This window comes from Homo sapiens, chromosome 3, assembly GCF_000001405.40.
Source record: "Homo sapiens chromosome 3, GRCh38.p14 Primary Assembly".
Lineage (NCBI taxonomy): Eukaryota > Metazoa > Chordata > Mammalia > Primates > Hominidae > Homo > Homo sapiens.
Genome location: NC_000003.12, coordinates 160,749,737 through 160,761,855, shown reverse-complemented (window position 1 = coordinate 160,761,855; position 12,119 = coordinate 160,749,737). Strand labels below are relative to the sequence as shown.

The 12,119-nt window shown below is 42.4% G+C and overlaps 1 protein-coding gene and 1 long non-coding RNA gene across 3 annotated transcripts in view, besides 6 other annotated features; one reads left to right on the top strand and one right to left on the bottom strand.

Annotated features, from left to right (window-relative positions):
* The window catches only part of PPM1L (protein phosphatase, Mg2+/Mn2+ dependent 1L), a 322,672-nt gene extending 317,047 nt beyond the window's left edge, over window positions 1-5,625 (bottom strand). For both annotated transcript variants that reach the window (NM_139245.4, XM_011512440.4), the window contains exon 1: window positions 5,149-5,625. In NM_139245.4, coding sequence (NP_640338.2) covers window positions 5,149-5,547 — 399 coding nt within the window. In that variant the 5' untranslated portion in view covers window positions 5,548-5,625. The remainder of the gene's footprint in view (window positions 1-5,148) is intronic.
* Window positions 5,599-5,698: a silencer, noted in NCBI's record as "silent region_14861". NCBI's record gives its function as "represses an Ori minimal core promoter by ATAC-STARR-seq in GM12878 lymphoblastoid cells {active_cell/tissue: GM12878}" and the evidence as "EXISTENCE:reporter gene assay evidence [ECO:0000049][PMID:35858748]".
* Window positions 5,759-5,918: a silencer, noted in NCBI's record as "silent region_14860". NCBI's record gives its function as "represses an Ori minimal core promoter by ATAC-STARR-seq in GM12878 lymphoblastoid cells {active_cell/tissue: GM12878}" and the evidence as "EXISTENCE:reporter gene assay evidence [ECO:0000049][PMID:35858748]".
* Window positions 5,949-5,998: a silencer, noted in NCBI's record as "silent region_14859". NCBI's record gives its function as "represses an Ori minimal core promoter by ATAC-STARR-seq in GM12878 lymphoblastoid cells {active_cell/tissue: GM12878}" and the evidence as "EXISTENCE:reporter gene assay evidence [ECO:0000049][PMID:35858748]".
* Window positions 6,289-6,508: a silencer, noted in NCBI's record as "silent region_14858". NCBI's record gives its function as "represses an Ori minimal core promoter by ATAC-STARR-seq in GM12878 lymphoblastoid cells {active_cell/tissue: GM12878}" and the evidence as "EXISTENCE:reporter gene assay evidence [ECO:0000049][PMID:35858748]".
* Window positions 6,405-11,071, top strand: PPM1L-DT (PPM1L divergent transcript). The gene has a single exon (NR_185913.1). It is a non-coding gene; the product is annotated as a PPM1L divergent transcript (long non-coding RNA).
* Window positions 6,699-6,918: an enhancer, noted in NCBI's record as "active region_20763". NCBI's record gives its function as "activates an Ori minimal core promoter by ATAC-STARR-seq in GM12878 lymphoblastoid cells {active_cell/tissue: GM12878}" and the evidence as "EXISTENCE:reporter gene assay evidence [ECO:0000049][PMID:35858748]".
* Window positions 7,029-7,128: an enhancer, noted in NCBI's record as "active region_20762". NCBI's record gives its function as "activates an Ori minimal core promoter by ATAC-STARR-seq in GM12878 lymphoblastoid cells {active_cell/tissue: GM12878}" and the evidence as "EXISTENCE:reporter gene assay evidence [ECO:0000049][PMID:35858748]".
* Window positions 11,072-12,119: the final 1,048 nt, after the last annotated feature.

Here is a 12,119-nt window from a genome sequence, read left to right as displayed (position 1 = left end):
GTTTCCCTCCACAAGCTCTCTTCTTCTCCGGTCTGCCACCATGTGAGATGCACCTTTCACCTTCAGCCATGACTGTGAGGCTTCCCCAGCCACGTGGAACTATAAGTCCATTAAACCTCTTTCTTTTGTAAATTTCCCAGCCTTGGGTATGTCTTTATCAGCAGCATGAAAACGGGCTAATACAAATGGGATAAAGGAAAATTGAGTGTAGGAAAGATAAACTGTCCTAGGAGTGAGGTTCATGTACCAGATGAATGTATTCCATAAAAGTCTGCACATTTGCTAGAGGTAGGTCAGGCGTTTGGCTCTTAATACTTGTAGCAGCCAACAAACCCAGGATGGCCCAATCAGTTACATAATTCAGCATCCTTAAGATAAATAGGTAATAGAGTACTATTTCTCCCTTGGTCCTCATTAAAATGACACTATATAATATAATAAATGATTTCCTCAACAACATTCTTGCAGTTATTTCTCAGAGCTAAGGAGACTATTCCTCCAAACAACCCTCACAGGCAAATGACAGCAAACAATTCAATAAAAGCAAATGATGGAGAGGAAAGCAGGAGGGCCAAGCAAGGGGTTCAGATACACAGTTCCTTGCAGAGCTAGATGCATCAAAAACAGATTTTATTCTATCTAGACTAATCTGAAATTCAGAGGCTTCATGCATCCACTTGTCTCTGAAACTACAAAGAAAATTTGATATGCATGTCCTTTTTTCTGGGGAATATGTCTGTAGTTTCATAACATTCTCAAAGAGCAGCATGACTCAAGAAAAGTTAAGAACCACTGATCTAAAGAATAAGACTATATATATATTCTTCAGGCAACCCTCCATAAGGAGTTTATTTTCTGAGCTTCTGAGAAGTGCTGAGCCTCAAGACTGCAGTCCCTGGCAAGCGCTTGAAGTATGGCTTCTCCCTCATGCAAAATGTGGAACTCTGGGCTTTAACCACTGGCCAAGCTGTGTGTCAATTATCAAGATACATAAGACCTTTAATAGAGTAGTGCTCATGAACATATGGAGCACATAACAATCTATTCTTCTAGCTAGGCTTCAGCCATGAACATTGATAGAGGTGCCAAAGGATTTGGTGATATTTCTTCTAGATGGTATTAAAAAAAAAAAACAAAAAAAAAACCACCTTTTGCCTGTAGATAAAAATTACAAGTAAGCACAAAAACAATGATTTTCCTAGACAAAAATCATTTTTATCTTAAAATAATCTTTCTACATCAATTTATATAACGAGCTCCTTTTTACCTTTTTGTTGTTTTAATCTTGTTATATAAGAAGACAATCACTGCCATACCTTTAGACACATACACACACTGTGAACCATCCACACACAGTATCATGGTTAGAATCAAGGGAGGAAGCTGGCCTGTAGGACCACTGAGATAAGGCTCTTTAAAATCTCATCCATCTAGAAGAAGCCACAGCCCTAGAGAGTCTGGTCCTCAGCATAAAAAGTCCAGAGACATATCTTTGCCGAAGAATTCACAGTTAAATATGCTCAAGAGAACTAACTCATGGTAACCCAAATCATAAGAGGCTGAAGTACAAATCAGAATACCAATTTCTTAATTAATCATAGAGAATATTCCTTTTGACTAGTAAGAAAATTTACACCTAAAGCCATGACACACTTTTCTCAAATATCTGGATAACTGAAATCCTGAATTAGTAATCAGGAGTCCACTGAAAGTTAGAACCTTGAGATATAGAGAGTTTGGGGGATAGCTAATAAATTATCCCTGCACTACATACATCTTCATAGAGATAAAAGTTGTGGCTCACACAGGAAGAGTCTCTCTCCCTTGAATAGTGCTGCCCCAGCACTGCAGACTTCTTGGTCTTCTTGGCCTTTCCTCTTCCATATCCTTCTCTCCTTTAGGTACTTCTCTAGACAGGGTATAATACAACTGATGAAGGTGCACCTTACAGGCATTATTATCCCTATTTTTTAGATAATAAACTCCCAGATAAAGCTGTTTCAGCAACTTGTCCAATGTCGCAGCTAGAATAAAGCAGAGCACAGATTCAAAGCCAGATCTCAAGTCAAAACCTATGCTGCTAATCTTGAAGTAAACAATACCTTCAAGGCGTTTTTTCCTGGGCCTTCCTACCTACCAGTCTGATTTAAATGTCCCTCCTCTGTGTCACCGTAACACTCTAAGCGCACCATGACTATAATTTTTGGTGTAGAGGTCTATCTCTCTCACTAGACTGAAACTTTTTGAGGATAGGGGTTATATTTCATTCACCCTTGTATCCCCAGGGCACCATCTATCTAGGTAAATATTCAAGCCAATTTGTCCAGTGGTTTCATATAGAGATCAACAAACTGAAGGCCTTGAACTAGCCACATAGCCTTAGGAAGGTCACAACTTCTCCAGCTATCAGCATCTCAGCTTAAAAGAAAAAAAAAGGGTGAGGGATGAAATTGATATACACAGATGAAATGGATGTACAAGGATATACAAGGTAATGTCTCCTCTGCATCTAAAGAGTACTACAATTACAGACGGGCCCTAGTTTTTGATGGTCTATCTTACTAGTGTGAGTTATTAGAAATAAAATTAAACTCCTCATTTATCGTCTGCACCATTCTAGAGCTAGAATATACATAAATAATAGAAAGTTCAGAAAAAGCTTCCTCTTCTGTGACAGGAGCTAACATCATCTATACTAAAATCAAACAGTGGCACCCTCCTCTGGTGAATGTTAAAGGAGCTAAACAACACACAAGAATTAGATGGTAGGATTTTGAATGATATATAAAGAAAAAGCAAGAGAAATTATCTAATATTATTTGTCACTGTTATACTCCCAATAGCAATTAAGTAACTCCTTTTGTAGCACTTTCCTTATTTTGCCCTAAAACAAAGCCAAAATGAACTAACTGGCTACATACGATAAGGGATTATGAACAGAACAAATACTCTATTTTTCAGAGTACTGATAATATCAATTATTTTGCAAACAGCATGCTTTTTAATGTAAGGCACAAAGAAAAGTATTTCATGGTTTGGCTAAAGATTATCATCTTTTCATTTGCAGTTAAAAAATTTAATGACAAGCCATGTACGTGTAAAATACTTTTAGTAAAATAAAAGCATTTATCGTGTCCCTTTTCTGGATGGTACATTTACCACAAGATACTACTAGAAATTTTTCAACCTGAAAAGTGTTTTGGTCTGCAACTTTCAGGTTTTACAGTATCAACTTAAAAGAAAAAAAAATTAAATCACCCAATCACTTACACCTTTTTAGCCCAAGGCTGAAACTATGCCAATGCATCACACCCAGACAACCACAACCCAAAATTTCACCACATTACTATTACAACCAAATCTTTAATAAAATTAAAACTGTGCTTTCTAAGACCAGAAGCAGATTATCACCAGCCACCAATTTTAATATAAAAATATATAATAAATATAAGCTTGTTAAATGATTTACAAAGGAAGGAATCACAGCTTCCTTCACCCTCATTGAATTTAGGCACAAAAAAATGAAAATACAGATAGTCTGCTTCAAGCCAAGAAGACAAATCAGCCATTATACTGGCAACTTTGTCATTAAGATATGTTTTTGCCCATGTACACAGCCTTTTTTCCCTCAATTAATTTTATATCTTTCACTTACTCTGTGACCAAGGGGAGGGGACCCCGACACTACCCAAGAGGTTACAAATTTACAACCAGTGAGAAACCTGCATTCTGAAAAAACAATATAAAAAAAGCTAGAGTGGATGGAAAATGGCAAAAACTGATTTCAGTTCTACCAAATGAGTTTTTCTACTAAGTTTGTCATTCTTGGCAAAGTTGGTTCTACAAGGTAGGTAGGCACAGTAGCATGAAAAGATTAGCAGAGTGATGGGTAAGGAATGCGGATAAGATATCCAGTTGAAAGCTTTCTCAATGTTTACCCAAAACAAAGGCCAAAGAACAAGCAAATGCTTGAAAAAGAATGGCAGTCCCTGCAGTTCCCTACAGCCTACCCAGAGATCAGAGGGCAGAGAAGAAAGTTGGGGGAAAACTTGTATGGGAGTTCGGGGGAGGGGTGTAATCAAAAACAGGAAGGGGTTAAGAATAAGAAAAGTATGCTGCCAAAAGGGAAAACAAAGAGTATGCAGCAATGAACCCGTTACAAACCGCCAATTTGAGAGATGGGGTGATTGGCCCAGTGTTCTTTGGAGCATGGCGCTAGAGCCACATTTGCCTCTCACTTTGCCTGGGCCAATGCGCAAGGACCAGAGCCAAGCTTTGCCTAACCTCCAGGAAACCTGGGCCTCAGCGCACAACCCGGGTGCCACAGAAATGTGGGAGAGGGAACTGAACTGGCCTCTAGCTATCTCCTGCTTCCAGATGAACCACAAACAAAGGAATCTAGAAGCAGGACGACGTCTGCACCCCTAAGCCCGCCAGGGCGCAAGGGTGAGGTCAAAGCACCGCCTCCTTTGCGGGCATAGCCACCTCTGCAAAGGCCAGGGACATCTAGGTCCCGCTCTGAGATCCTAGTGAAAACAAGCGGCCAGCGAGGCGCTCCTGTCAATTGGCCCGATTGCACTTGTAAAGTTGATAGAGTTGGAAAGAAGCGCAGAGCTGCCCCTCGGATTCCTCCCTAGAGTGAAGGCGATGGGAAGGAGTCACAGCTTCCTTCACCCTCAATGAGCTCGCTCTGCAGATATAGCCTGTTTGCCTAATGAAGCATAAGATATTGTCTTCCTTCTCTGTGCCTAGTTCAGCTCAAACCCTAGAACAAGGGCACTGGGGTCTGGGACCAAAGTTCACTGGAGATACCATTAATTCTCCTTGCTAAACTAGCACAGTGTTTTCTGGGTTCCGGCCTTGGGAACCTCACATTAAGTAGCAACAAATATGCTGTGGATGACTCTCCTTTCCCTAAAGTGGACCCTCAGCACCAAGAAGTCTGGATCCAGCAGTGCTTTTGGCAACTTGAGCCGCATTTGTCCAGCCAGGCACCGTGGTGTCATCACCACGCCCCTCGCACCCAGATCCTCTCCCGCTGCGCACACGCTGTCCTGTTGTTTATACACACACACACACACACACACACACACACACACACACGAGACATACACGGACACAAATACAAAGCCCCGGGGTAGCTCCTACCTCTCCCCCGTGCCCGTCGAAGATCCCGAAGATGGACGGGTGCGTCTTGTTGGCCAGATCCGTGAGAACTTCGAAGCGGTCCTCCATGTGGTCTCTCCGGCCCTGGATGGAGTACACCGCCACGTTGTGGTTCTTGAACTCCCAGGTCTTGGAAAACTCGGCCTCGAGCACATCAAGCCCCCCGAGTCGATCGTTCTGCATGATCTCGGCTACCTTGCCCTTCACCATCTTCACGGCGTCCCGGCTGGACTTCACGATGGTCTTCACCTCGTCGGTGTGGAAGAAGTAACTCCATAGAGCCAAGCTGATGCACAGCAGGAAAAGCGTCTCGGGTCTCAGCAAGAAGTAGCGCATGATGCGACCCAGCAGAGACAGCAAAGTCATTGTATCCTCTATCATTTATTATCGCTAGAGCCTCAACCACCACCAGCGACGCGCGCCCCGAAGGCTCGCCGGGTCCGGGAGCACTGCGGGGACAGCCCGCCGGGAGGGAGGCGGAGCAGTGCCCGAGGGTGGGGGAGAGGATCGCGGAGCCCAGCCAGAGGCAGCCGAGCAAGCGGCTCCGAGCAGGCAGCGCGAGCAGAGGCAGCTTCCCTTTTGTCTCCCCGCCTCGGCGGCCCGGAGGCCCGTCCCTGCCGCCCGCGCCGCCTCCCTTCCCTGAGCCCCTTTGTGAGACCGCGGCGGCGGCGGTAGCAGCAGCCGCCGCAGCAGCAGCCGCTGGTGCCCCGGTTGGGCAAGAAGAATCAAGTTAAAGTTGCGCTGGGCGGGTCTGCCGCGGTGAGCGGGAGAGTTCAGGGGCGCCGGCGCCCGCGCGGTCCCTCCGGGGGTGCCCCCTCGAGACTCCGGAGAGCGATCAGCAGGTGAGGCGCAGGGCTCCAGAGCCCGGCGGACGAGGGACGCAGGTCCCCTCGGTCGCCGCCGAAGGGGAGCGCGGAGATGGCGGAAGGTTCCAATTCCTTCACACACCCCGGGGGCCCCAGAGAATAAAAGTTTTGCGGGAGCCTGGGCAGAGACAGGGGTACGCAGAGCCCGGCGACGCGGCACGGTCGGTACTGAGCCGCAGGCGGCCGGCTGGGCTCTGCCTGCCTCTCCCAGGCACCTCCCGGCTCGGATCGGCTCGGCTCAGCTCGGCTTCACTCGCGCGCTCCCTCCTCGCGTCCCGGCTCGCGCGCGCTCCGCCCCCCGCGCGCTCGCCCCGCCCCGTCCCGCCCCTTGAGTCGGGACTCGACACCCCGAGGTGTTCCCACCCAGCTGTCAGAGGCTGAGCAAGTTCCGCGGCCGCCGGTGCGGGCTCGCAGCCCCATGCGGTCCAGGACAGCCAAGGGGGAGAAAAGAGGGAGGTCCGCTGCCTAGCTCTTGCGAATCGTTGTTCCTTCCCCCTGTGCCGGCTCCTAAGACAAGCTAATACTGACCCCGGTAGTCTTAGCGTTGGTTTTCCAGGAACTATTGCTGCTCACTGGGAAGCCGAGAGCCATACGTGAGCGTTCCCCCCTTCGGCGGCTGCACTATAGTGCGGTCCCCGCTTCGCCAGCCATAAGGCAAGCGAGAAGGGACGCACTTCTCCCGGCTTGCAAAGCGGTAGGGAGACGATCGGGCCGCTGGCCGCTGTCTCGGCGTTCAGCAATAGAGGCCTTCCCGGATCTCCCGAGAGGCGGGGAGCGAGCCTGGGTCCAGCAGCCTTCTCCCTCCCGAGAACAGCAGAAAGGGGGGACTCGACAGAATGACCTCTGTTTCCCCAAGGAAGTGCACTCTGACGATAACCTCGGGAGGGACGAGAAGGGCCGCTCTTTCGGAGAGCGGCCGCCGCCCCTGGAGTAGGGGACTCAGTGGCCACGAAGGCCTTCCCTGCTCGCGACCTTTCCACGGGAAGGCACGAAGCTTCCGATGGGGGCCCCGGGGCGCTCCTGACTTTTCTACGGCGCGAGGGCTCTGACTCTGCGGTTCAGGTTTGAAAGTCCTTTGGAAGCTCGCAAGTGGTGGTCTCCCACCACCTCCTCGGTCATCGCAGGAAGAAGGCGCAGTGAGGGCGGGAGTCTGGATGAGCGGAGAGTAGCCACCGCGGAGAAGAGTGCGGGCTTGCAGGAGCCGACGAAGATAACTCGAAATGTGGGCAGGCAGGTGTTGGTGGGTCTTGAAAGTGGGAAAGCACGAGAAAAGAACAATGTTCGCGTCCGCTTAGAATACGGAAACAAGTGAGCTTTAAAGGAAAATACTCATTCTCATTACCCCTGTCCAGGAAGAAGAGTGCTGATCTGCTGCTTCCAGTCCGCTGGGCTGGAGAGCAGAAAGAGGCTACTTGATCCCAGCCAAGCCAGTGTCTGTCCCCCAGCAAGCACTTCTGCCTTGGTGTGATCCCCATTCCTTTTCTAAAAATACAAAATAATAAGAAGTCCTGGAAGGAAATACACTAAAATGTTCCCAGTGGTTAATCATGCGTACAGTAGTAGATTATATGCAGCTTTCATTTTCTGCTTTAGACTTTTGTCTATTTTCCACAACTTTTCTAAAGTTTCTACAAAGGCCATATATTTCCACCATAAGCAGAAAAAATGAAAACGTAAGCATTTAAATGGCACATACAATATAATCTCAATAGTATAAACATGCATACAAAAGACAGGAAGGAGATATGAAGAACTGCTAACAGTATGTTATTTTTCACAACTAGGATATAGTCTCCTGTCCTGCTTTACCTTTCAGGTATTTTCATCTGATAAATAGAGAAACAGTTTAAAATAAATTCAGTCATCCTGTTCAATAGCCAAGAGGTTCCAAAATGAGATAATGAATTTAAAAGCCTTCGGGAACTATAAAGAAAAGTAATGCATTAGTATTATTTTGAAGATAAGTTTACAATATTTCTTACTGTAAATTATCAAATCACTTTTGGGTGCATTGTCAGTCTTTCTGTACATGGATTCGTTTCACTGTGGCAAAGGCAACTTGCAGATAAGCTGATAAAGATTCCAGAACTACAAATCAAACTAGGCCCTGGAGTAGCAGTAAAATTCCAAACCCAAAGGCCCATCCAGTCTGTCCACTACATTCCTATATTGATGAGAGCAGAACAGACACTCATGAGAGACATGACTTCTGCTTCCCCCATAACTAAGAAGAGAGATTACCATACTGATGATCTCCCTGGAGGTTTCATAGCAAGGTTTGACTTGATGAATTAATTAATAAAGCTAAATATCCTGAAGATTTGGTGGAAATATGCTTTGACATTTACATCTAAGTGTTCATCCGTGAAAATCAATAAAATATTTTTTCATGCAGACCCTATAGGCATTTTCTTACTAAAAACTTCATGTGGTTTATGTGGCAATTTCCAAAAATGCCTAAATAAACTCTGTTATAGTTTACTGTGAATATTAATATATTACAAAAAGAAAAAAGACCTTCCTCTAGTGACAAACTAATATTTGCATATTTGTGAGGATTATGAAGGTTTTTTCATATATGGCAATGTTATTTTCATTCTCCTAACAATCCTCTGAGGAAGATAGAAGTTATTATCTGTTTATGAGGAAAGCGAAGCCCAAAGATGTTAAGCGAATATCACTGTTCAGCAAATAAGAGGTTATACATTCAAACTCAGTTCTTTTGATTACCAGTTCAGTACTCTTAACATCCATTACTGTGCAGTGATACTGAGATGATTAATTTTTACACTTCTCCACTAATATTTCACCAGATTTCTGTTACAGAAATCTCAAAAAGAATGCATGTATTCTTATTCCACAATTCTGTTTTTAGCCTTTGGGATAAGCACTTCACCATGAGTATTTACCTCACCCATTGAGAATACCTGTGGGGCAGAAAACAGGTGCAAGTGTACTTCTTTAATAAACAGGTAAGAGATCTGTTGCTAAAGTAAAATAGTGTCAAAATTTCACAGAGGAAAGAGGTACCAAAAAATATGCATTATACAAATACTTTGCCATTGCAAGTGACATGGTAATGAACAGAGAATTAATGGCAATCCTAGGTTTTCATGGGATATAACAATAGTGATCAAACTGTTTACAGGCAATTACTGTTTTCTGCTTTGCAATTAACCCATGTCAGCCTTGCAAGTATATAAAAAATATATAGCTTTTAAAAATAATTTATTCTCAAAAATATTTCAGAGTTGTAGCTCTTAGGTTTAAAAAGTCTTTAAAATGGAGTTTGATAACCAATAAATCTGTTTTCTAGTATGATGTTGTTTTAGGATGTCCTTATCTACTTTATTTTTTATCACCTCATAGAACATGATAAAAAGTGGCTCATGCCTGTAATCCCAACATTTTGGGAGGCCAAGACAGACAGATCATTTGAGCCCAGGAGTTTGAGACCAGCCTGAACAACAGGTGAAACCCTGTCTCTACTAAAAATACAAGAAATTAGCCAGGAATGGTGGCATGTGCTTGTAGTCCCAGCTACCCAGGAAGCTGAGCTGGGAAGATCATCTAAACCCGGGAGGCGGACAGTGCAGTGAGCTGTGATTGCACCACTGCACTCCAGCCTGGGTGACAGAATGAGACCCCGTCTCATAAAAACAAAATGTAAAGTGACTTATCTGCTGAGACTCTGAATGATAAATATGATTTTTAAAATCCTTTCAAGTAAATTTTATATGAAACTTTTATACACATAGAAATTCTCTGCACAGTTTTAAATTTCTCAGTTGTCACTTTGATTTATATTCTTAAATTGTTCCTGCCATCTGTATGCAAATATGTAGTAGGTATTAAGTAGGACTCTCTTACTGACATTCTATTAATATATACCTATGTATGTATAACCTTTTAAAGGACACATATAAAAGAGCATGCAAGTATTGTTATGAAATACAACAACCATGCATGAACACAGAACACCCAACCAAAAAACTAGAGTGTTACCAATATCTTCATACCAACCTAGTTCTTCCCCTATCCCACCTCCATGCCTGTCCTCTCCACAGGTAGCCTACTATCCTGAATTTTATGTTTTACTATCCCCTTGCCTTTTTTTTTTTTTTAATGCGATCTTGGCTCAGGCAATCCTCCCACCTCAGTCTTCCAAGTAGCTGGGACTATAGGCACATGCCACCACACCTGGCTAATTTTTGTATTTTTTGTAGAGATGGGGTTTTGCCATGTTGCCCAGCCTGTTCTCGAACTCCTGAGCTCAAACAACCCACCCACCTCAGCCTCCTGCCTTGCCCTTTTAAAAAATAACTGTATCATATATGTCTGCATCCCTAAGTAATACATTTTTTAGTTTTGTTTTGGTTTTGAGCCTTACAAAAAATGGTATCTTACTGTATATAGTCCTCTGGTACTTGTTTTTTTTCTCTCACTATTAAGTTTCTAGATCCTCCTATGTTGTTGCATATAGCTATATATTGTTACATATAGCTGTAAATCAGTCATTTTACAGCTATGTAATACTCCATTGTGTGACTGTTCCATAAGTTATGTATTCATCTTCTGTGGATGTTCAAATTTCCAAGTTTTTACTATTAGGATCAATAATTTCTTGAATTACTCTTGTATTATCTCTTCGTGCACATATGCAAAAGTTTCTCTAGGTAGATACCTAGAAGTGAAATTACTTAATCATAGAGAATGAAAATGTTCGACTTTACAACTTAAGGCCAAATTGTTTTTGAAAATGTGTTGTTCCCTTTTGCAGTCTAACCAACAATGTAATCAAAGCTCCTTAATGAAAAGGATCATCTAAATTATGTTTTAAAGTAGTTTTCAATTTGGTCCTTTAGTAAATAGTTATCCATGATCATGTCTATTAAACCATATTAAGTCTTCAATTCTTTTCATAAAACCTTTCTAGATGCAAAATTTAATACTAAATCTTGTTTTAAATGCCTGTCCACATATCAGTAAAAATGTTTTAAAATAACTACATAAAAATAAAAAATGTCAATGACCTTCAAGTGAAAAATGAATGTTTTAGTAGTATAGCTAAGAAAAAAATTCATCACTTTAAGTATAATAGTATATCAATTTAGATTTACATTAATATCTCTGGGGTTCTATCAAACAAAGAACTCACATGACAGACACCAATTATTTTGGGGTGGAATATGATTTTATTTCACTGGACTCCAAAAACACAAGAATGTTTCTAATACCCAAGTTTTTGTATTAATTACAGAGATATATCGAAGATAGTTTTTTTCTGAATAAAACTTTTATATCATTGCATTAACTCTGTATACACAAACCATACATAGCCTAAGAATCCGTCATCTGATTCCCCTAGGCTTTTCTCTGATAATCTTCAAACAAGGTTCCTAAATTTTAATGTTAATCTAAAGCATTTCCTAAATTTTTGTATACCAATTGACACACATCAATATTCTAGCTAATTTATAACATGAAGCATTGTGAATAATTGAACAATTCTTTTGCAGTGGATGTAAGAAATAATACAAGTGGAAAGATAAAATTTTGTTTCTTTCCATAGGAGGTAGGGGCTTTTTTTTTTTTTTTTTTTCTTTAGTGCAATTCAGAAAGAAGAAAAATTGCCTCAGGAACACAACTAACTCTGTTTCATAGCCCAACAGAACAGTGAGAATTGAGCCCTTGAGAATTGTTGGTGTTAATTCAAGCTTGATGTCCATTTGTATTATATCAAGGTAAATTAATGTTAATATCCCATTCTTATACCCAAATTTTTCTGATGGCTTCTCTGAGCACCCTGAGAATAATTTGTATTCCCTCCAGTTTTTCTATGTTCCCCAAATGGTTCCCATTGAAAACATTTGTTTTATGTTGGGTGCACTGTTAGAAACACTAAATTTCGGAAACTGAGTAGTTTTAATATGTAAAAGTATTCACAAAACCTTTCTGTTTTTTACCTCTTAAGATGCTTGCTTGATAGGACTGCAGAAAATCTTTAGTCACACAGGATTTAACTTTAGAGTTGATTTCTATATATGATACTTGAGGTAAATGTTGTTATGCCCCAAAATAAAATTA